This window comes from Homo sapiens, chromosome 13 (genome assembly GCF_000001405.40).
Source record: "Homo sapiens chromosome 13, GRCh38.p14 Primary Assembly".
Taxonomy (NCBI): Eukaryota; Metazoa; Chordata; class Mammalia; order Primates; family Hominidae; genus Homo; species Homo sapiens.
The window spans coordinates 75,322,127-75,347,200 of NC_000013.11; the positions used below are offsets into that span (position 1 = coordinate 75,322,127).

General features: G+C 37.6%; 1 protein-coding gene across 11 annotated transcripts in view, besides 2 other annotated features; it reads right to left on the reverse strand.

The window, feature by feature from the left end:
* Positions 1-25,074, reverse strand: part of TBC1D4 (TBC1 domain family member 4) — a 198,667-nt gene that overhangs the window by 38,624 nt on the left and 134,969 nt on the right. For 3 of the 11 annotated variants that reach the window (NM_014832.5, XM_006719903.4, NM_001286658.2), the window contains exons 6-11: positions 19,370-19,461; positions 18,999-19,109; positions 14,795-14,914; positions 5,626-5,700; positions 4,071-4,297; positions 2,111-2,275 (exon numbers count right to left, since the gene is read on the reverse strand). In NM_014832.5, the coding sequence (NP_055647.2) occupies positions 2,111-2,275; positions 4,071-4,297; positions 5,626-5,700; positions 14,795-14,914; positions 18,999-19,109; positions 19,370-19,461 (790 nt within the window). Of the gene's footprint in view, positions 1-2,110; positions 2,276-4,070; positions 4,298-4,519; positions 4,645-5,625; positions 5,701-14,794; positions 14,915-18,998; positions 19,110-19,369; positions 19,462-25,074 lie in introns of those variants that run through there. The other 8 variants (XM_047430808.1, XM_005266603.3, XM_011535331.3 and 5 more) reach the window with 7 other exon arrangements.
* Positions 3,538-4,737: an enhancer, noted in NCBI's record as "BRD4-independent group 4 enhancer chr13:75899800-75900999 (GRCh37/hg19 assembly coordinates)". NCBI's record gives its function as "activates an origin of replication core promoter dependent on BRD2, P300/CBP, MED14 and CDK7 cofactors, and independent of BRD4, by STARR-seq in HCT116 cells {active_cell/tissue: HCT116}" and the evidence as "EXISTENCE:reporter gene assay evidence [ECO:0000049][PMID:35650434]".
* Positions 4,798-4,917: an enhancer, noted in NCBI's record as "active region_7822". NCBI's record gives its function as "activates an Ori minimal core promoter by ATAC-STARR-seq in GM12878 lymphoblastoid cells {active_cell/tissue: GM12878}" and the evidence as "EXISTENCE:reporter gene assay evidence [ECO:0000049][PMID:35858748]".

The window sequence follows — 25,074 nt, forward strand, 5'->3', positions numbered from 1 at the left end:
CTGTGTGCTTTCAATTGGTGTCCTTTCCTGGGAAAACAATTTTTTAAGTACACTTTTGGCCTATTCATTTTCTGCTATCAAACTTTCAAAGTGTAGAAAAGGGTACAAACAAGTACTCTCTGATTTTTAGAATTGCACATAGCCAAGAAAACATTAAAACATACAGAAAACAAGGATTTTTTAATGATCTTAGAAATTTAAAAGTTTGCCATATATTTCAATACACCACTTAAAACAACACAGCTACAAAAAGGTGAAATTTTTCAACCCAAAACTAATGTGTATTTGCCCTTTGACTTCAAAATCCTTCTATTAGAATGAGGTATAGAGGGCTTTGGGAAGCTATTGGCAAAAAGAACACATACAACTAAGCAGGAACTCCTGAAAGCAAATGAATAACCTTATATTAAACAATATGAACAATCTGTATAGACAGAAGCCACCACTTTTGTGCTTTACATCCTAGTTACAGCTAACCTTTGATCTTAATGGGTATTGCTAATTGTCACTTTCAGGCATGGTTCTCTCAGGAAGGAAACTGGGATTCTCCATATACTCACTTTAACAAACATAACAATAAGAAAATGCAAATAGGTTGGTTGAAAGTGTTGTATTCTTATCAGTAGGCCGTATTATAGAGATACGGCAAACTGATATCTTTATGTATATTCTTGGTTCTCTAAATTAGTTTCATATTCTATATATCTTATACTAGTTTTGTGGCTATTTCCTTTGAAATTTCTTCCATAAGGTCGTCCCTGAAAGCACTCTAAAGTAAATTCTTCATATACTTTCTTCACTATAAATCAAATTCACTGTTGGAACATGACTTTGTACTAATTCAGAGGAAAGTTCAGGATCAAAATTATATTAATCCAGTATTAGTTATCTTTTCTTAAAGTGAAAAAAAGGCACACATGGACAAAAGACCCTCAGGAATAATTCAAGGATTAGTCTACTTTAACTAGTGAGTGAGTGCTACCTAGTTATATATTAACTTTTAGCATGTACTATGTCTAAGAGAAATAGGCCAAAAGAATATCTAAGAAGATGTTAATGGCACACAGGCTAGTGGATAACATGTATTCCTCTCCTGACTACAAGAAGTGCCAATTATCAAACAACAAGAAACAACCCAAATATCCATCAGCAAGAGAGTGGATAAAATGTAATGTATGAAATGGAATACTATACAGCAATAAAAGTGAATAAGTCAAGCTATACACAAAAACAGGAATGAATCTCACAAACATCTATGACACCAACAAATTTAGAAAGGTTCCCAAGTAAGCCCATTACTTTCTAGAGGCTGCAGCACCCCACTAAGAATTTGAATGATCAATATTATTGCATGTATAATTTTAATTTTTTTTAAAAAAAGCAATTCTCCAAAAATCACTACGTCTAATTTTGTGTTACTAAAAGAACAAGAATAAGATTTAACAGGCTATACATTTTCCATACTGGGGATAAAAACAAAACAAAATAGAATGTTCACAAGATTCAAGAGGTCGTTCACAAGATTCAAGAGGTCCTTCACAGATCCCTCATGCTATCTAAGAGTTGCTATCCATATGATCTTGTAACCATTATGCGATTTATATTGAGATCCAGAAAAGTCTGTCATTGAAAAATCAAAGAAATGCCTAGGAAATATTCTATATACTTAAAAATAAAGACATTATTGTATCTATCAGTTTAGTACAGTTATGTCAATCAGTGGCTTTTGGATTCCATTAAATATGTCTAGAAAGGCCAAGGAAAAAAAAAGGCACAATCAGGGAAGGTTCACTTAGTATATGTTAGCATCAGTTGTGCTAACAATACAAAGCTTAGACTCTGGAGTTTGAGAAAACGAAACACACAAACAATACAAAAAGCATAATTCAAAAAGATATCATATCATCAAAAAGCTTTGAAACTACTGGTTGAAAAAGTTCTCTTAATAAAATTAATTGGGATTGAAACCAATATATTAGAAACAGATTAGAACAAGCACAACACAGGGATGCATAAATGTCACTCCAAAATTAATCAACCACTTTTTAGTAACATATCAGTATATCACTGCAGAAAATTTTGCTTTGCAAACAGAGGACACTGATCTCACCTGATTTCATTTTCATACTGTGGGGACAGTCTACCTGAATTCTGGTAAAAGCTTTTCAGGAAAGAGGGGGCAGTGAAGGAAGGGGCAGAGAAGGAAGTGTGAAGACTTGGAAGACTGGAGGAAGAATTACTCTCCTTGTACATGCGTCGAACTGACGAAAGATTGCTGAGTACAGAAAATACAGCAAATATGTCTTAATTTATATTTTGACAAAATCTTCATTCACTATGAAAAAGCATATAAACAGGTTCTTGCTATTAATTTAATCTTTCCTTTCAAGGCTCAGGGCTGGATCTTACATGAAAAAAAAAGAAGAAGCATGCAGTTCTCTATTTAGATAACTATGACCTAATTTCATTCCTTTACAATTTGAATTCCTTATCTATACAGTATGTCTAAGCATCTGTGTTTGTCTCTAAAAATTTCTTAACAATTTGAGGACAAAAAGTATTTGTTTTCACATGCAAAAGACACTTCAAGGGAAAAAAGCAGGAAAGCACAAATAATTACAGGAAACAAGTTCCAGAAGGAAGGACTGATTATCACTAGTTCAAAGACTTTGACTATTTTAAAGATATAAACCCTTCTAAATATTTAAGAACAACATGTTTGGTTGTTGGAAGTTATCATAATGCCTTTGGCTTAACAAACATTAATGTCCGTGTTCTTTCCTGAGGACAGTGGAATTGTGCCACTATGGTTTAATCGAAAGCCCAAAATCTAGAAGATTCTTTGCATAGCAAGCTTTCACAATGACACAGAGAGCATCTTTTTATAGTGATAGAAATTGTTTGAACTTATACATTATAAAATGTGGAAAACAGAGGGAAGGATTGAGATATTTATAGTCTAAAATGATTGATGTCTTTAATTATTGAAAATAATTTTTCCTGGAAAAAAAAAGAGTTCTATTGCCTTGAGTAAATATATATGAAGTGATCATTTAAATATCTTGATATACATATGACTACTTAATATCCTTTACACACACAGCAAAAAAATCTGAGAATAATGAACTCTGTTAACTTTATTTTTTGTATCATAAAATATCTCATTTTTAAATTTCGAGTCATTCAGAAAACAACAATGAAAATAAAACTGTATCCTTAGAAGAAATGCAGGCAAATTTTGTAACACACGATATAAAAATTAGCCTTCTCCTTTTACATCGAGTTGTGTTTTTTTTTTTCTCTCCAACGAGCATCTTTACTTAACCCTATTTTCCGTAACAAATTCATAGGTAAAGAAGAGAAACAAAATGAGTTCTAAGATATAAATTTGATCTGTGTTACACAGAAAGAAGAAAATCATTCCAAGTTTATCCTCTTTACTGTTTCTCACCAAATATCAAGCAACTTTTTGTTAAATTATGTTTTAAATACTGTGTAAGATCTTTTCTAAGTGGACACTGCCTGTCAATTATGGTATATATACTCTTCTTTATACATATCACCTTATTCTAGATACAATTTATAACAATTTTCATATTCAGCTTTAATTTATTATGTAACAAAATATAGCCAAATATTATCTCATGTATGAAAGTAACTTAGGTGACTTTTAAAACCCTGGTATTTTATCATAAGCTAACAGGAAGTTCTAATGCTATGTTATTTTCAAATCTGCTGACTTTGTTTCTCTAGAATCATCATCAAGACACTGCGTAACGTGTTATCAGCAGGTTTTCAGACAAAACAACTGCATGGTTATCTTGTTTTTTCTATTTTTCTGAAAGGAAAAACAAAAGAGTTTCCACCCAAACGAATTAACTCTTCTTTTTGTGTATGCCTTAACCTTGCCTGTTTCGCCTAGTAAATGAGGTAACTTAATTTGTTTTTATGGTGTTTCTCAAAACTAAAAGTTGGCTACAGCATAAATTCACAATCCACCTTGACTCCAGAGTAATCAAAACTGTGTGCCTTGAGAATCTAGGTCTCATTCTGGAGAGGGTCAGACTCACCTGCACTGTTCACTGGAGCTCTGCCTCAGCAGAGGGGAACGCACACCCTGAGCCCTCCCATCCTGCAAATTCAGCTTTCTCTTTGTGCTTGAAGGTGGGTGGCTGAACGTGTGTGCCCGTCTTCGAAACTGCGGGGAGTCGGAATCCTCTTCGGGAAACGTTTGCCAAGCTGAGGACGGTGGGGACGCTGGCGGTGTCCCTGGTGGAGAATCCCCTGGTGAGTAGTCCTGAAACACAAGCGGAAGGGAGCCCTTTATTTCCCACGTGGGTCATGGCAGACCTGCCAAAACACAGAGCTCAAAAGTGACAGTGTGCCTCATCTTCCTCCTGAGTCATGACAAAACTGTTTTTCCTCCCCCTTTTACTTAATTTATGCCGTAGGCTAATCAGTATCACTACAACCCATTATCTTCTGATAAGCAGCTGTAATCAGTATCACCACAACCCACTTATCTTTGGATAAGCAGCTGTAAGACAGCATCCGTAAAGACAGGCCAGAAAGTGAGAGGGATGACAAAAAAGTGAAAGCTATTCTCTCCCCTGACACTTTGTGATGAAACGCTAGAGCTACTGTACTTCTCTCACTGTTGCCAGAGAGATGAAAAAAAGATCATGACCAAAAGAGGGTGGAGTCTGTGTTTCCGTATCTCCTGGCTTCCGTGACATATCAATTGCATGCTTCCTGTACTGCCAAAACAGTATTACAATGCCTAAGTGTCCAAGTCTCATGGCAAAGCCTTCCGGAAAATAAAGTCTGTTAAGTATCTTCCCTCACCGTGGATGTTTCTATTCAATTACATGTTCCCTGAGGTAAATTTCTTTTAAAACACATGAAAAACAGGAAATGAATGAAAACCGAGCTATGCTGGAATGCATCTCATATTGCATGGGTAGAAATCATAAATCTCTCAATTTAGACAGGTATGCTGTTAAAACTTTCCAGAACAGGCACCACTGTAGAAATATTTAGCTTGATAAACATGGGTTAGTGATAATAGACTCATAGCTGGACTAAGTCCCCACTTCCATCAACAGAAAGTTTAACAGAAATATTTTAATATATTTCCATTTTAAAAAATAGGCTGCATGTGCCTCAGGTGACATACTGCACTACGCAGGAAACAGGAAACCCAACCTACCGAGAGTTGTCAATGAGATAAAGAAGATCCCAGTGTTGCAGCTAAAATGATTTTTAAAAAATGAGGGGGGAAAATAACACGGGAAGGGAACAAATAAAATCACTGTACAAGTATATAATTACTAATATATGGCTCATTTTTTATAAGGCATTGGATCAATAGTTGCTCAAATACTGTTGTCCAAAGCATACTATCTCCAAACAATAAAAAGCCTAACAGAGCACAGTTAGCCTGTAAGGGAATAAGAAGCTACATGCTAATGCCTAGAATCTTCTTAGTTAAAATAATAAAGTCTCAAATATTTATTTTTTAAAAAGCTATAAAGCATTCATAATAAAAAATGGAGCATGCATATTACCATATCGGTGCTGACTTTGTTAAGTTGCAATTAGTGTAAACAAGCTCTAGTTAGATACCTTCTCTGAAGCAAGACTGTTGGACCGTTCAAAACTGTCCACACTTCCAAGCCGACCTCTCATTCTGTTAGCTCCCTGAGTGAAAAGAATAAAATTAAGTGCTTCGTGTGATTTAAAATTTTACTTCAAAACTATAAAAGGTAGTTCCAGGTGGTCTCTTAATGTTAGCATTAAATTGATCATTTTGTGGTTCACTTAAATTTGTTGGCTTTATTAATAGTCATTACAGCACAGTAAAAATAACTATTTCTGATCTATTTCCATTATTTTTAAATCAGCCGTTAGATAACTAGATACTCAGACCAAGCTTTTTGAAGTTAGTTTGGTTACAAGATTACACGTTATTCATCCATAAGTTCAGTGAGGGCCCCAATTAACTCTGTCTCAGATTCAAATATGGAAGATACAGCAAAACAAACCAGAAAAGCTATGCAGAAAATGACTTAATACATACAACCTAGATCAAAACATCATAATTCATTTATAGGATTATAATAAACATCAGTTAAAAACCACATGGAAAAGAAAACCACATTCTAAAATTTATCGGTTTTGCATCATTCATTATTCCATAATGCCAAACTATTTCAAGAAATCATTTAATTCTGGAAGACTAGATATCAGTCTGCTTCAATACTGGTGAATTGGTTATCAATTTTTTTTCACATAGTCCTTTGGTGTGGATTTTATAAATGATCTCAGAAAGAGATCTAAGAGATCACCTAAGATCTAAGAGACCTAAGAACCTAAGAGATTATTCTTTCTGTTCCCCCCTCACTTTAAATAGGAAGAAACTGAGGCCAACTATAGAAGGAAAGAGGATACAAGTCAGGTTGGGAACCTCATCATCTACAAGGTCTTAAAAGACAAAACACAGACTGAGGAGTTCCACACAACTCTAGAGCATGTGGCGAAGTTCTAAAAAAGAATGAGTGGAAACACCAGTCAGATCCATGTGACAGTGACCCTGCGAAATTTTTTAACAATGCATAACATTTGCATAGTACTTTCCAGGCTTCGACTCTGTCTGCAAACATTCTTAGGTTTATTTGGGGGTCGGGGGTAAGGGGTTGCATTTCATTTTAATTTTTAATCAAAGTAATATCAGCACAAAGTTTCAAAAGTGAAACTGTGCTATCAAGTTTATAATGAAAAGTGGTGGTCATCAACCCCCTCTCTTGCACTCTGAATCCCACTCCCCAAAAGCGAACCTTGAAATTATTTATATTGATATTTCTGGTATTCAGCTTATCCTACCGTTCCTTAAGCTTTCCATTTTAGGAAGTATCTATTGACTTCCTAACTCTGGAAGATGAAATTTAATATTCTTACCTCATTATATACCCAGTTCCACCTCCCCCCAACCCCCACACACACCTTTCTTCCCCTCTTCCTTCAATATAGTTACATCACGAATTTTGGTTAAATCAGTACTTTGTGCTTAGATTATTAGGACTGTAAGTATTGTTTGCAGCTGAGCGACATATTTTACTATGATTATGTCTGCTTACACCTCATATCTTATATATTTTGTTTTTCATGGAGTTAGTGACTACTTCAGCAAACACGAATATATTACAAAACTCTCCTACAGTTCACAATATGGTCAAACATCACCACACCAACCATCAATTACCCTCCCCTCCCCTTCCCTCCCCTCACGTCTCCTCTCCTCTCTCTCTTTCTCTCTCTCTCTCTCCCCCGCTTGTTTTTTTAAGCTACCATTATGGAGACCTCTGTGTTTCTGCCCCAATCTGGACATGTTACAATATAGGCTTGCTCTACAAAGCTTCCCAGGATTTTCCTTCACTATCAACCTAGAAATTTCCTTTGACTCTCTCCTCTGTTGGAATTTCTGCTTCCTTGGTCCCATGTCTTCTCCTTTTTTAGTTTAATTCCTCATTTGGGTGAGGCACATTCTCCGGGTGCTTTCTGAGAAAGGGAGAGTGGGAACTAAATTTTTTAAAAAATGTACATGTCCATAAATGTCATTATTCTATGCTTGTATTTCACTAATAGTTCGGCTGGATATCGTATATTGTAGTAGTTAGAAATTTTGCTTCCAAATATCTTAGCATTGCTCAAATGTCCTTTGTTTCAGAAGTCTAAAGCCATTGTGATTCTAGAGCCTGTGTGTCTGACCTGCTGTTTCTCTTTGGAACAGAATCTAAGTTTGCCCTTTGGCATTGTGAAATTTCACAACGACGTGCCTTAGCATGACTTTTACACAGTCACTCTGTTGTGCACTTTCTGAGTTCACTAAATCTGGAAACTCACGCTCTTTAGCTCTGAGAAATTTTTAAAATTATTTCTTTAAAAATTTCCTTGCAGGCATTTTTTCTTACTGGAACTCCTACTGTTTGGTTCTGGACTAATCCTTTAACTTTTTACCTTGTTCTCCTATTTTCCATTTCTTTGAAGTTTGCTCCATTTTCTGAAAGGCCTTTTTTCAACTCTAGTTTCCTAGCCTTCTCTTGAATTTTTCTTTTTACATCTACTATCAGAAAGTTTAAACAGTTCTTTCTTCTTTTCAGATGACTGTGTTTTATTTATGACATCCTATCTTGTTTCGTAAAGCAATATTTATTCTTATCTGCATATATTATAGCTTTATCTCCAATGGCTTACTATAGGATAACTAAAACAATAATAAAATTAATAGCTGCACCTAATATTATTGAACGCTTATCATGTGCCATATACTACGTTAAGGATTTTACACTGCATTAGCTCACTTAATCCTCATACCAGTTGTGAGGTAAGTATGGTTATTTAGCCCGTCTTCACAGATATAGAGACTGAAGTTCTGATAGATTACATTGCCCAAGTTTACACAGCTAGTTAAAAGAAAGGGCAGCAATTTTGACACAGGAAGCACAATTGTAAAGTGAAGCTCCTGAGCTGTTACTACTACATCCCTAAACTAAAGCTCTGTGAAAAAGAGAATTACAAATAAAGCTAATTAGCCTACACAGGTTACATGGAATTTTGTAAATGTCCTAGAACCTCATCAAATTCTTTTCAGTTCTTCAGTTCTATGTTATAATTGGCATCCTTCCAATAACAAAAACTCTATTTGTGGCTAATAAATTATTGGGTTAGTGTGTGTAGCCAAGAGGAAAATATAGTAAAGATGAGATTGCTGTTATTTTTAGCGCTACTTACACGCCCACCTGCCTGGTTATCTCAGACAGGTTATTTGGTCTTAACAGACAAAGTAGTCAGATGGGTATCAAACCATTCCTATTACTAGAAAAACAACTGAAATCACCTATTTTACTCATAGTGGTGTTTTACCCACACAAGCTTTTTTTGTGCACAAAGAAAAACAAAGTTACTTTAAAATTATACTCTACCACTTCACACATTTCAACAAGTAAAGACAATGGATATTACTCTGAAGAAAGTAGAAAATGAGTACTATTTTTAAAATAACTTGCACTTTATATTAGTAAATATTGGCTTGGCATGGTGGCTCATGCCTGTAATCCTAGCACTTTAGGAAGCTGAGGTGGGAGGATTGCTTGACCCCAGGAGTTCGAGACCAGCCTGGGCAACATGATAAGACCCTGTCTGTACAAAAAAAAATAAAAATAAAATTAGCCAGGCTTGGTGGAATGTGACCATGGTCCTAGCTACTTGGGAGGCTAAGGCGGGAAGACTGTTTGAGCCCAGGAGTTCGAGGCTGCAGTGAGCTATGATCACACCACTGCAGTCCAGCCTGGGTGACAGAGCAAGACCCTATCTCAAAAAAATAAAATAAAATTTATATTAGTAAATATTTCTGTTTTGGAAAACAACTGAAAAAATAAAAGCAACAGATAGCCATTACATGATTCTGATTTTCACCTTTGAACAGACAGCTTTTTCTGTTTTACTACATTGTGATTTGCTAATTCATGTGTCAGGCCCTTTCCCTTGGACTCGCTTTTTAGTGGTTAATGAGCTGAGTTTCTTTGCATTTAAAAAATGGATCCTATTTCATAAACAACTATAGTTAGCTAAATAAAATATTTTGATGTTTAAAAATGGCAGCAATTATGAGCTAAACTCCAAAACTGGAGTGTGAATTTTCTACTATACAACTCAGCAGGAAAAAAAAAAAAAAAGACAAGTTTTAGAAGTATACAAAACCCCTTTTGCTATGTAACCTTTAATACAACATGGGGAGCTGCCAACCTGCCCAAAAAGTGCAATCTGTTGCACACGGTACAAGCAAGACCTTGTTAGGTCGCAAAATTTATGTCATTTGGCATCACTCTGGGAAACAAAAGCTACAGTATCCACCTTGATCAAAACAGATTGGCTGTGCCCTTGCTGAAAATGTCATTACAGCAATTGAAGGCATGCAAAAAAGACTTCAAAGTTGGCACTGCAAGTATTATGCAGGATGCCAAGGTACTAAATGGAGATAAAGGAACACCCTAAATACCCTTTGCCATTTTGTAAATGACAGAGGTTTTGAGCTTACTACTGAATATACCACCTCCTATCTATGATGTGATATTTCCCTAACACACTAACATTTAATCCTCACAATTACATGAGGCAAGTGGGTGTTAATATATCCATTTCACAAATGGGAAAACTATGGCTTAGAAAAGGCAAATAATTCATCCAAGATCATAAATATAAAATCGGCTAGGGCCAGGGATTACATTCAGGTACCCTGACACCTACTTAAATGGTCTTTTCTGCTAAAATTTTCACTAAACACTGTGTTCAATTCAGGTAGCTGATGCTGTTTCTGATGCTGGTGCTTTAAGAATTACACGTGCCTTAAGTAAGTGTAATTGCATCAGCCTCACCTGGAAGGCTTGTTGAAACCCAAATTACTGGACCCCACCCCGAGAGTTTCTGATTAAGTAGGTCTGGGGTGAGGACCAGGATTTTACTAATTTATAAATTTTGAAGGAAAAAGGCATATTTTATGAAATTTGCATTGGCATACTTCTGACAAATCTCCTAGATACTCTTTTCTGAGATTCAGTTTTCCACTGATAAAATAATGGCATTCACAATTGATCATGCTTGCTGCAGGGCTTCTGTTAAAGTTAGAAGGATCTCTATCATTAAGAGAAATAACTAGAAAAGTATTTTGAGCCATAACAAAGAAACAAAACTAGGAACACGGGATATCAGAAGTTACTGTGTCCTAATGCTCTATTGCACAAGCATGGAAAAAATCAAAATGTATCCAACTATTTAACTAAACATATTCTTATAATGCTACTAAGGTTAAACAGGTGGAAATAATGTTTTTAAAAACAATACACATTTGCAAATAGAGTTCAATGGTTAATTCAAAGTTCCTCTCAAAGTCTAAGAATTTTTACCACTCATTTGCCTCTTTAAAGGCACTGAGAGATCACTAAGGAAGACACTTATACACTGAAGGTGAAATTTTTCTTTGTGTATTAACATAAAGGCCAAGAGACTTTAAAAAGTCATCAAGGGTACCTTTTGAAACTTTGTTCACAGGAGTTAAAACACCTACCACCCAACCAGTCTTACTACTTGGTTTTCACAGGCAGTGTGCTGGGTACAGAAAAGAGCCCTTATTGATGACTGTACAATGGCAGTACTTGTGATCCATTAATAACCTGAGCTATTCATTAACACATGAAAACAGCAAGCAGAAAAAATAAATTTAAAAAAACACCCTGGGTGGGCTTTGTGAGGCATGTGTGATAAGCAGGTTTAAAACGATCACTTTGTTTCTCTTTTTTCATTTTGAAGCCATCTCAAATGCAGAGGCAAGTTATAAGTACAGTACAAAAATTTTTTTTCCCCACAACGATTTTCAAGTAAGTTACCAATATAAAGCTCCACCACCCTGAAATACTTTACTGTGTATTTTCTATAAAAAAGGACATTCTCCAATATAACTAAAATACAACTTTCAAAACCAGGATACTGACATTGATACAGTAATACTATTGAATCTTCAGACTTCACTCCAATTGCATTGGTTGTCCCAATAATGGCTTTTAGGGCAAAAGGATCCAATTCACAATCTCCCATTCCACTTGTTTTTGTGTTTCTTTAGGGTCCTTCAGTCTGGAGTTATTCCTCAACCTGTTCTTGACTTTCTTGAAGATAACAGGCTTGTTATTTTGTAGACTCCACCTCAATTTGGGTTTGTTGACATTTCCCCTTGATTAGATTCAAGCACTGCCTATTTGACAGGAATACCACAGAAGCAGTTCTGTTTCTTCATATCAGGTGGCACAGGGCTGCAATTTGTCCCACTGCTGATGATGTTCAATTTGATCACTTGGTGGTGCCTGCCAGCCTTCTCCATTGTAAAGTTATTTTCCCATTAGTAATTAATAAATATTAATTACATACAGCAAATATCTTATTTATGATAAAACTTTCAATATATTCATTTATTTTTTGTATCAGAAAATAGTTGCCTATTTTATGCAACAGGTTAGATTATCTGTTGCTATCATTTATGTCAACGCTCATATTGTCCCAGTGGGAGCCCTTTCAAGGTTTTTATGTCTTTATGACACGTCACCATTTTTCTTTGAATATTTTCCTACTATCTAAAACACCAAGATGTTCTGGGATCATACTTTTCCTGCAGTACTGAAATTAGCCATGTTTCTCAGAATCTTGGTTCTGTCTAGTAGGAACATATACATATATACTTATGTTTACATTTACATTTTTTATATTTACATATATATTTCTATATGATTGTATATATAATATGTCTATATTTACATGTATATAAAATTCATGATTTTATATTGATACCTCCAAGTTTTATTTTTGTAATTTTTTTATTTCCATAGGTTATTGGGGAACAGGTGGTTTTTTGTTTGTTTGTTTGTTTGTTTAGACAGGGTCTCACTCTGTCTCCCAGGCTGGAGTACAGTGGCATGATCTCAGCTCACTGCAACCCCTGCCTGCTGGGTTCCAGTGATTCTCGTGCCTCAGCCTCCTGAGTAGCTGGGATTACAGGCACGCAACACCACACCCGGCTCATTTTTTTGTATTTTTAGTAGAGACGGGGTTTTACCATGTCGGCCAGGCAGGAACAGGTGTTATCTGGTTACATGAGTAAGTTCTTTAGTGTGATACCTCCAAGTTGAATCCAACACAGGGTTCATTCTAATTTCTACCCTTTTCATATTAGTAATTTCTTCCTCCCTGGACCCCACTATCCTTAAGACATTTACTTACTTCTTCAGTCCCTGTGTATATATAACCCATCTCCACAATGGCCACTGCACAGACACTGTCCTCATCCCACCCAGGCTGTGCCACTCCCTGCTGGGGCTGCCACCCCAACACGTGCACATCCTCAGCCTGCTTAGGCACCCATCCCTGTGAATGCTCGCTCCCCTCCACTGTGGCTCTGACACCCGCACTGGGCCTTCCCTCTGCCAGTATGCTGCCTCCTACAACCTCCCAAACCAGGTTCCCCTTCTCTGCAGATTCCCTCCTTACTGCAAGAGGCTCCCACACCCTGCATCGGGCCATCCCCACATTCCACACCCCATATGGACAGTCTCCCTGCTCTGAGCCACAGTGGGTCCCCCATGCCACAGCCCAGAACACCCACGTAGCTTGACCTCACCTAATAGCTCTAAGGCAGAATTGTTCAGGAAGAGGAAAATGAAGTTGAAGGGGAACCATTTTGCTTATTTTAAAATGGAATATATATACTTACTAAATGGAATACATAAATTTCCATTAATTTATACTTTTTTCAGCACTTCCTCTAAGTTCCTAAGAATCGGTGATATGGTTTGGATCCGCCCAAATCTCATGTCAGATTGTAATTCCCAATGTTGGAGGTCGGCCTGGTGGGAGGTGACCGGATCACAGGGATGGATTTCTTAGGAATGGTTTAGCACCATCCACTTGGTGCTGTTCTCATGATACTGAGTTCTCATGAGATCTGGTTGTTTAAAAGTATGCAGCACCTCCTCATTCTCTCTCTCTTGTTCCTGATCCCACCATGTGAGATGTCTCACTCCCCCTTTGCCTTCCACCATGATTGGAAGCTTCCTGAGGTCTCTCCAGAAGCAGAAGCCACTATGCTTCCTGTATAACCTGCAGAACCGTGAGTCAATGAAACCTCTTTTCTTTACAAGTTACCCAGTTTCAGGTATTTCTTTATAGCAATGCGAAAATGAACTAATACAATGGGCAAAAGAAGAATTTCTTTATAACTTTCTATGGGAAATGATTTTTAAAGTTCTTATAGTATTGAGCATCAGTATTCTATTTCCCCTTTTCTATACATATATATTTCTACTACTAAATATCTATTGCTCGAATTCAAATAAAGGCCCCAGAATAAATCTCGATCTGAGAAGCAAACTTATTTTGAAAGATCATTTTGGGCCAGGTGCGGTGGCTCACACCTGTAATCCCAGCACTTTGGGAGGCCGACGTGGGTGGATCACAAGGTCAAGAGATCGAGACCATCCTGGCTAACATGGTGAAACCCTGTCTCTACCAAAAATACAAAAATTAGCCAGGCGTGGTGGCGCGCACCTGTAGTCCCAGCTACTCAGGAGGCTGAGGCAGAAGAATCGCTTGAACCCAGGAGACAGAGATTGCAGTAAGCTGAGATCGCACCACTGCACTCCAGCATGGTGACAGAGCAAGACTTCGTCTCAAGGAAAAAAAAAAAAGATCATTTTGAGCTGGGCATGGATGGTGGCTCACACCTGTAATGCCAGCACTTTGGGAGGCCAAGGCAGGTGAATCACTTGAGGTCAGGAGTTTGAGAACAGCCTGACCAACATGGTAAAAACCTGTCTCTACTAAAAATACAAAAATTAGCCGGACATGGTGATGTACACCTGTAATCTCTGCCTTACTCAAGAGTCTGAGGCGGGAGATCTCCACTACTCGAGAGGCTGAGGCAGGAGAATCGCTTGAATGCAGGAGGCAGAGGTTGCAGTGAGCTGAGATCTCACCACTGCACTCCAATCTGGGTGACAAGAGTGAAATCCATCTCAAAAAAACAAAAAAACAAAAGAAAAAAAGATCCTTTTGTTAAATAATTTTTAAAAGTTATCTTAGGTTTTTTTTTTGTTTGTTTTTTGTTTTAAGGAAATCAGTGAGCCTGTTGAGACTGAAGCTAAACTGTTAGAAAACACAGATATGCATACTTGAAAGACCATTGGTGCAATCTTACCCTTGAGAAGATATTTTCCAGGGAGCTAGTTAAGGATCTCTTAGCTTTATTTTTCAGAATGTCAAGTTTGAACCTTCCACTGCTTGTTGCATTTTCTGGGATTGTACTATTTGAAATAGTCTAAAAAAAGAAAAACAGATACATTTTAGTTTGGAAATACTCAAGGTTAAATGAAACTTTAATTATAGGCTTAAGACTAAGCTATTAAAAAACACAAGAATTCTTCAGTAGCTCTATTAATAAGTAATAATTTAGGTCCCACACTGTGAACATAATGCTTATAAGGAAAGGGGTTTAATTTTTCATATTGTATGTAATAAAAAGACAGATGTAAAATATTTCCTTCATGCCTTTCCTTTCCATGAATACACTCCTACTGCATTTAGCAAAAATTATACTTGATATGTCAATTTTTACTACTGCTACTCTGATTAACATCTATAACCATCCCTTTCCAAGATGTATACTTTATATCCAAATTACCAAGAAAAACACAGAACACAAGTTCCAAAGAACAAAGCATTTTCCAAACAAAACTGGATTCTGGTAATGCCTCTGTTATAATTCCATTTTCATTCGTGAGTGGGTCATTTATGTCTTAGATCACAAGTATAGAACCAAACTGGGTGAGAATCTATGATGTGTCCACTATATTAGGTTCTCTATGTATTTTATCCATTGAAGTAAGCAGCTACTATGTATATCACATGGTCCTTAGTAGCAAAAAACTTTCAAGCGAGAAACCTTATGATTTGCTTGGGGAGGGAATAGCAACACAAAGCACGTGTAAGTATCAAATACCAAAGCAGGAAGATTGGCTGTGGGTCTAAACAGGAAGAAAAGAATACACAGGATTCAGACAGGCGGGAAGAAAGGGATGAAGACTTCCCCAGAACTGGGGATGCTTGTTGGCAAAATCCTAAAGGGTGGATTGCTTAAGGGAGAGAAAGTCAGGGCATGTATTTAGTTAAAATATTGCTTGCCATTACTTTTAATGGCAAAAACTGCAATTACTTCTGCACCTGCCTAATAGAAGGGAGCAGTAGAAGGTAACACGAGAAACTCAGGCTGGAAAATAAAACCTTGAATGTTCTTAAGTGCCAGGTAAATAGGAAGAATTAGCAATCCAAATTTATAAGCTGAGGGAAATCCCTGTGAATGTAATGTTTTAGGGAGAGTTATCAAAAAGAAGTGTTCAAAAACACATCTAAAAGACAGGAAAATCAGACTGAAACATCAAACTGAACTCGAGGCTTCAGCACAGTCTATGTAGGAGGCAATAAGGGCCCACACTAGCACCAGCTCCATCAAATCAGTTAAGAAGTTACAGATGCAAGAAAGGCCCCACCAAGAAAGGAAAGGAGAGGAAAAAAAAAACAATGGGTATACATGTGGGCTGGACAGGGCTCAGGGTGTGTATAAAGCACTGGGATCATTCATTATTCTAAGGCTTCCAGATAAACAAATGTGACAAAAATACAAAAACTGTATGGGCACTTAGCAAATATCTGACACATAGTAACTGCTCAGTAAATACCAGTTGAATAAATGGAAGGAAATGAAGGAAAGGAGAGCGTGATGGAGGCAGAAGCTTAGCTACGAGCAAGAAAACATGAAAATATTGTTAAAATCTCCTCCTGTATGATCATTTCTTTGTGATTTCTCCATCACAAAGAAATGCACATCTCGTGAACATCCTCCTTTAACTTCAGGTCCACAACAAAGCTCATGTCTTCCATATTTATACTCAAATTCCTCTATAGGCACCAAATGTATCAACCTCCTTACTCATCACCTCAAATTCCTCTATGGGCACCAAATCCATTTTTCTAATTGAATCTCAAACACATTTCCAAATTGAATTCTTATTTTTTATTCTCATCCCCTGCCCCACTCTCGTCTGCTTTCTTTATTTCCCGGCTCTGTTTCATCAAATTTCCCCACACGGGAAACCCTGACGTTGTTCACAGCAACTCCCTCTCCCTTCCTTTACAGATTCTTCCAGCCAGTCACTAAGTCCTAATGATTATGCCGCCTAAATAGCTCTTCACTCAGTTCCTTCCCCACTTCTCTAGGGCTCTAGCTTGGCCTCTCTGAGTCAAATAAATGCTTCAAGACGAATTATTCAAGCTATTTATGTACCAATGCTACCTCTAACTTGTGCATACATCATTATACCAATCACATCATATTTTAATGTATTTGGTTTCACATTGGTTTCTCCTCCTAAACAGTTAGATGGCAGGGAAGGGTCGCCATTATTCATCACTGTTTCCTAGTACAGTCTGTACTCGATAAAGATTTGTGCAATAATTAAATCACTTATCACATATTCTATTAAAACATTCTCCCAACTGGAGAATATGACTTAGTCCTAACCCCCTCAACCAAGCAACCTCCCCCATAAATAAATCTACCATCAGAAGAACAGCAGAATTTTCTCTTTGTGGTGCAAATCTGATCTTCTCACTCCCTTACTTGAAATCCTTCCATGACAAAGTCAGGCCTGCCAGTAACTTAAGGCCCTTCCTCATCTCATTCTGCCTATCATCCCAGCCTTGTTTCCCCCACCAATCCCCAAGCACAACCTCAAAACCAGCACCTAATTCCAGTGCCTGCATGGAGTAAGTTTGGGCACACTACTACATAACTTTGTGCTCAATGTTCTTTTTTTTTTTTGAGACGGAGTCTCCTGTCGCCTGGGGAGTGCAATGGCATGATCTTGGCTCACTGCAACCTCCACCTCCCAGGTTCACGTGCTTCTCCTGCCTCAGCTTCCTGAGTAGCTGGGATTACAGGCACACACCACCACACCGGCTAATTGTTTTTGTATTTTTAGTAGAGACGGGGTTTCACTATGTTGGCCAGACTCTAAACTCCTGACCTCGTGATTCACCAGCCTCAGCCTCCCAAAGTGCTGGGATCACAGGCGTGAGCCACCACACCCGGCCCAAAAAGTACAGTTCCTCAACTGTTCTGACAGCAAAGTTTATCTCTCCTAAAATTCCAACTCCCTCAAAATGTCCTTCCTCTTGAATCTCCTCTTCTCTTACTCTCTACTCCAGCTCCAAAGCAAAGACACAGCTACTTTTGTGCTCACTACAGATTCTTTTTTAAAGCCACTTATTGACTTTATTCTATGTATCTATTGATCTGTTTGCATTCCCCTTTCAAATATTTGAGCTATTCTCTGGAGAGGACATGATTCATTCATCAGGTTTTTTTGTCACCTTTTTCCATCACATAGTTTAACTCATAGAAGGTTCTCAAGAAATGCTTGTTCTGTGACTAAATGAAGGACTGTGTACTAACAATATGTGATTTGTTCTGAATATAGTGAAATAAAGATATAACCTGAATTAGTGTTATCAAGAGTAAATATTTCACAATCCCCTTTGATGTTACGGCTGGTGGTCCTGCTTCTTCTATATGCAGCAGAGGATAAATTCTAGACCACATGCACAAAAATACCATCCCTCAGTTTGCAGCTAGGGTACCATTTACATGATATTACTGCTGTTTCACCATTTGGGCTATCTCCAGTTTCGATGAAATAAAATGTTCATATGAATTGGAAATAAAATAATAGATTAATATAACTAAAAATAATGTATGTTCATTCTAAATCACGAACATGTACTATTAATGCTTTTTTTTAACCAAAACCCACAAATTCTTTTACATTTTAAGACCATCATTAGTTTAGCTCAATGTGTCAGTGCCTGCTCAAATTCCCTATAAAATGGCCGGGTGCAGTGGCTCATGCCTGTAATCCCAGCACTTTGGGAGGCCGAGGCGGGGGGATCACCTGAAGTTGGGAGTTCGTGACCAGCCTGACCAACATGGAGAAACCCCGTCTCTACTAAAAATACAAAATTAGCCGGGTGTGGTGGTGCATGCCTGTAGTCCCAGCTACCCGGGAAGCTGAGGCAGAAGAATCGCTTGAACCCGGGAGGCGGAGGTTGCAGTGAGCCAAGATCGTGCCATTGCACTCCAGCCTGGGCAACAAGTGTGAAACTCCGTCTTAAAAACAAAAAACAAAAAAACCTATAAAACTATTAAAATGCTGGGCGGGGGAGTGAGGGGGTAGTTCAGGAAACTCTGATAGGACTTTAGCCCTAAAGAACCTGAGAGTACAAAGGGAAGAATTAACAAAATTATTAAACAACAACAAAAGTAGGTGAAGTAGGAAATATCTTCTCACAGAAGGGCCTTCCCCGATGTGCACGTGTGTCTTCTGCTTGGCTTCACACAGCTGCCTCAGGTGTAAAATCACAAGTTCATTTTCTTCCTGGTCACTGACTGGCTTCATTTTCTGTTCAACAGACAAACCAAAAGAACACTATGGCAACACCACTTCCCTCCTTTTATTCTGTCGGGCAGACAAACGTAAATAAAGCTAAGAGTTTTAACTTCGCTCAGAAGCAAAAGTAAAATGGCATTCTATTCTATCCAGTAGTACTCTAGGTCATGCATCTTTAGCTCTAGGCAGCAGAATGAAAACAGGAACGCATAAAAACAGGATCCAATTCTCATTCCTTATGTCTTATTTATGAGACCTACAAATAATGTTACCTGAACTCTTTCAAAGATGTCAGCTTGCTCATTATCTGTCAGTGATGAGAGATGCCTCTGTATCACCAGCTTGGCTCTTGGTGGGTAGAGACCTAAGGAAAATGATGAGGGAAGGTATTAAACAGAGTCTAGCAGCAGAGATCCAGGGGCAGAGAATGCATTACACTTCACCTCTTCCCAAGCAGGCTCTGAACTTAAATCTTCTCAAGGAGACGTGTTCCTGCCTACAAGAAACCTTGGAATACTACATTGAAATGATTAAAACTAGATGAAAAACCTCTCCACCAAAATCAACAGCCCCCAGTAGTGATCTTGGCATTACAATTACTAACAACGGGCCGGGCACAGTGGCTCGCGCCTGTAATCCCAACACTTTGGGAGGTGGAGAGGAGTTTTCAGAAACTTTTCCTCTAGTTCTCATTCAGTACTGCACAGTGGTTTAAAACAGGCCTGGTGACAGTGTGGCCACAGTATGGCAGGACTGTGTGCGTTCTGACAAGCATGAAGCAAATTCTAGTTCTTTTACACCCTGTCTCTACTAAAAATACAAAAATTAGCCAGCCATGGTGGCGGGGGCCTGTAATCCCAGCTACTCAGGAGGCGAGGCAGGAGACTCACTTGAACATGGGAGGCAGAGGTTGCAGTGAGCCAAGATCGAGCCACTGCACTCCAGCCTGGGCGACAAAGTGAGACTCCATCTCAAAACAACAACAACAAAAATTACTAACAATGAATTTCTAAGCGATACTGAGCACAACCAGATACCACTTTACACTAACAAACAGCCACAGTAGAAACTCACAGATGATTTAACATTAACCTAAGACCTCACATGGAAATAAAAGCTAAAGACTAGCCTTGGCCAAAAATTTTAAGTTTACAACTTGACATTTAAAGAAGAAAGAACAAGTAATAATATTAAAAGGCAAGACTACGGCTTTGACAGAGATCTCTTCCCCGATGCAGCTCTTGTTCTGTGAGAATAAAGTTTTAAGGATAGCATTAGTATTTAGTGAACTTTCAATGTTATTATTTTATCAAGAAATCATTTACTTCTTTATATCATGATATTCACAAACCTATCCCATTCTTACACATAATTTATATTAAGTCCTTGGGAAAATCTTTTTTCATGAGAAGGTTGTTTTTAAATTTTTTTTTAAAAAAGAAAGTTTAATTCATATTTGCAGTAATTCAACAGACCATTCATTTTTAAAGAACAGATTTCTCTTTCTTCAAAAGAAGATTCAAAGAAAAAGAGCAGATTTTCATTACAGTTAGGTTCCACTTAGAGTATTGCTACTATATTTTGATTATGAAGAGAATATATATATATATTCTGGATATATATAATATTTAATAAACCTTATAGGTAGGCTGGCATTTTAAAATCATTTGTTATTATAAGGCTGCCTTTGCTATCATTCTCAGGTTATAACTAAATATATTACATGATGTTATGACATAATTTGAATGTTTTCCATGTATTCTTTGTATTTATTTACAAAGAATAAGACAAAGTAATTGGCCGAAAATACTTATAATTTGTTCCGCTAAGTTGCATCACAGAATTTTAAAATAATGTATTAGTCTATAAGTACATTGTGCACTTTTCTCATTGTATTCATTTCTAAGAAAATATGAGGTGCCAGGCAACTGAAGTAAACTGATTTAATAGATTTGAGCTACTTTTTAAAATTAAATAACTATCAAGATCTCTACAGATAGTATACAGGAGGATCACCTGAAAATACACATTGTTTTAAAAGATCTAGAATTCACTTCACACTTGCCAGAAAGCACACAGTACTGCCATACTGCAGCCACACGGCCACCAGGCCTGCTTTAAACCACTGTGCAGTACTGAATGAGAACTAGAGGAAAAGTTTCCAAAAACTCCACTCCACATTTCTTTGTGCAATGTACAGCAAAATTCGGTGCAAGTCTTGGTGATCACAGACAGAAAACTAAATTCATTTTGATGGTATGACACCACTCACTATCACAGTTTATTTTATTTTATTTTATTTTATTTATTTGAGATGGAGTTTCGCTCTCGTTGCCCGGGCTGGAGTGCAATGGCGCGATCTCGACTCACCGCAACTTCCTCCTCCAGGTTCAAGCAATTCTCCTGCCTCAGCCTTCCGAGTAGCTAGGATTACAGGCATGCGCCACCACACCCAGCTACTTTTGTATTTTTAGTAAAGACGGTGTTTCTCCACGTTGGTCAGGCTGGGCTCCAACTCCTGACCTCAGGTGATCTGCCCACCTCGGCCTCCCAAAGTGCTGGGATTACATGAGCCACCGTGCCCTGTTTTGTGTTTATTTTTATTTTATTTTACTTTATTTTATTTTATTTTTTGAGGCAGAGTTTCACTCTCGTCACCTAGGCTGGAATGCAATGGCGTGATCTCAGCTCACTGCAACCTCTGCCTCCTGGGTTCAAGTGATTCTCATGCCTCAACCTCCCAAGTAGCTGGGATTACAGGTGCCCACCACCATGCCCAGCTAATTTTTGTATTTTTAGTAGAGACGGAGTTTCACCATTTTGGAGAGGCTGGGCCTGAACTCCTGACCTCCTGACCTCAGGTGATCCACCTGCCTCGGCCTCCCAAAGTGCTGGGATTACAGGCGTTAGCCACCGTGCCCGGCCACTATCACAATTTATTATTTGCTGGGAAAGTCTCCTTCAGAGGCTTAGACAACATATTATGATAATGATTCACATGATTGTTTTTGTTTTGTTTCCTGTTGTTTATTACTCAAGTGACTAACATGGAAGATAAAAGATTGAAAAGAGGAAAAGAAAAATAAAGAAGGTAGTTATTTGAAGTATGTAACTAAATTCATAAACTAGGAAGTTTCTTTAGTCCTCTATGTTAGTCAAAGAATTGGAATTGGCTGGAGTTTATTTCTTTCAAACTATACATGCTCCCTCTTCCATGAATCTGATTGGACTTCCTTCCTCCCAGCAACTGGAATCACTGACTGGCGAATTACTGATATTGAAAGCATGTATATTATCCACTATGCATGTTAATGTAGGAAACCAACATTAGGATAATCGGTCTATCTCGGTGATACTCAGCATCACTTTTCAGATTCACATTCTGAGGTTTGGTCCTTGGGAAACAGCATTCCCCTTCGATGCCACCCCCTCAATTCACTTCAGTCCACAGAGATGGCTGACTGTTCCTCCTGGGATAAACAGTAAGAGTGAACACAAGGACAGACGATGAAGGCTCACATACACATACTTATCTACTTTATTTTTATCTTATTTTTGTCATTAAAAATAGAACTCAATGCAGCTAAATGTATTGACAAGAATACTACAATTCTGAATGAGTGAAATAAAATACTACTATCTGGTTTTTTAAAATATCTTCCTCACTAACAATACTTTTATTAATTTGTGTTTATCTAAATGTGATCCTTCTTCCAGCTTTGTACTTTGTACCTAAGCATAAAACAAACTTAGAATTAACAGTTATCTTACTTAAATGAAAGTAACTGTTTGGAAAACACACAGATACCAGGAGGCTTCCAGGCCCTGAGGGTCCCTGCCTTTGGATACTCTCTTAGAGAAAAGGTATCCAGGTGCTTTGGAAGCCAATTAGGCAAGTCCAAATCCTGGCTCTGCCCCTTCTAAGCAAAGTGAATACAGCAGTTATTACCCCACTACGGGTCTCAGTGTCTCAGCTGCTTCATGTGTAAAAGAGATTCAGTTTTTTTCATATGGATGGAATGGGCTAATACATGTGAAACACAATAGTGCCTCGCACATGGAGAGGCCTACAGAGGATCTGCCTTACTGTTACTACCTTTGTTCTTACTATTAATATCAGAGTACTGTGCTGTCTTACTGCTATCTTTACTCAACATAAAAAGGAGGAAGGAAAAAATCCTATCAGAGAGTGTGATCCAGGGACTTAGGAAAACAACCCTGAGTGACTCACAAGTCCTTCTTTTTACTCCCTTCAGATACATGCATGCCTTGAAGTGCATAAAGCTTAAGTTTCAGAGTCCCTTCGAGATTTTGGGAAGGGCCCTAACAATTCTGAATTCATAATTGTTTATTACTTTTCTTTTTCTTTAAAAAGGTATCTAAAACTGGCCGGGCACAGTGGCTCACAACTGTAATCCTAGCACTTTGGGAGGCCAAGGCGGGCGGATTGCCTGAGCTCAGGAGTTTGAGACCAGCCTGGGCAACATGGTGAAACCCCGTCTCTAAGAAAATACAAAAAAAAAAAAAAGATATTTAAAACTATAAAAACTTCAGTCTCCAGAAAATCAAGATCCAGCTATATGTCTACACGGAGTCCTTTGTATAAGTGATAGCTCCCCTATAGGTTTAGAGCCAGCTTCTGACAAAGACTGCCTACTTTTATGAGAATTTAAAACTTCTGTTTTGTATTAGAAAGCATATTTTAAAACACACCTAGAGTCTGTTTAAATAATTTTAAAAACAGAAATACAAAGTTGTTTCTTTACTCCTATGTTTTTAACTTTGCCTACACAGAACTAATTTATTTTACAGTGTATGGTTTGAAAAATAAAATTTAAGGAGGAAAATATTACTTATAAACAATGGGAAAAGACGGGTAAGGAATATTTGGAAACTCTCTGCAACTTTTCTGTAAATCTAAAAGTAGATCAAAGTTTTGTTTTTTTTATATACTAAGTTTTGGGATACATGTGCAGAATGTGCAGGTTTGTTACACAGGTATATACGTGCCATGGTGCACCCATCAACCTGTCATCTACATTAGGTATTTCTAGTAATGTTATCCCTCCCCTAGACCCCCACCCCTTGACAGGCCCCCGGCATGTGATGTTCCCCTCCCTGTGTCTATGTGTTCTCATTGTTCAACTCCCACTTATGAGTGAGAACATGCAGTGTTTGGTTTTCTGTTCCTGTGTTAGTTTGCTGAGAGTGATGGTTTCCAGCTTCATCCATGTCCCTGCAAAGGACATAAACTCATCCTTTTTTATGGCTGCATAGCATTCCACGGTGTATATGTGCTACATTTTCTTTATCCAGTCTATCACTGATGGGCATTTGGGTTGGTTCCAAGTCTTTGCTAGTGTGGATAGTGCTGCAATAAACATACGTGTGCATGTGTCTTTAGAACAGAATGATTTATAATCCTTTGCGTATATACCCAGTAATGGGATTGCTGGATCAAATGGTATTTCTGGCTCTAGACCCTTGAGGAATTGCCAGACTGCCTTCCTGAAAGTGACGGAGTGTAGATCAAAGTTTTTGAAAAAAAAAATTTATGGCATTATACTATGTACTTTTCCATATATATAAATATATGCTGTATGTTATTAAGCAAATTATTTTTTCACTCAACAATACAATTTTAAGATGCATCCATGTTGACACATAGTTCAAATTCATTCCTATTAACTGCTTCATTATGTGAATATACTACTAATTATGCCATTGATCGACATTTAGATCATTTCCAATTTTCCATTATTTACAAGTAACACAACATTTTAAATGTCACCTTCTGTACTTACATAAAAGTTTTTCTTATCAAGACATGGAACTTCTAGATAACAGAGTATGTGCAATGTTAGGTTAATGAGTTTATATTAACTGTCCCCCCAAAATGGCTGTAGCAATCTACACTCCCATCAGTATTACACAAACGTATTACATAACCATACAATTTCTCCAACAGTTAATCTGA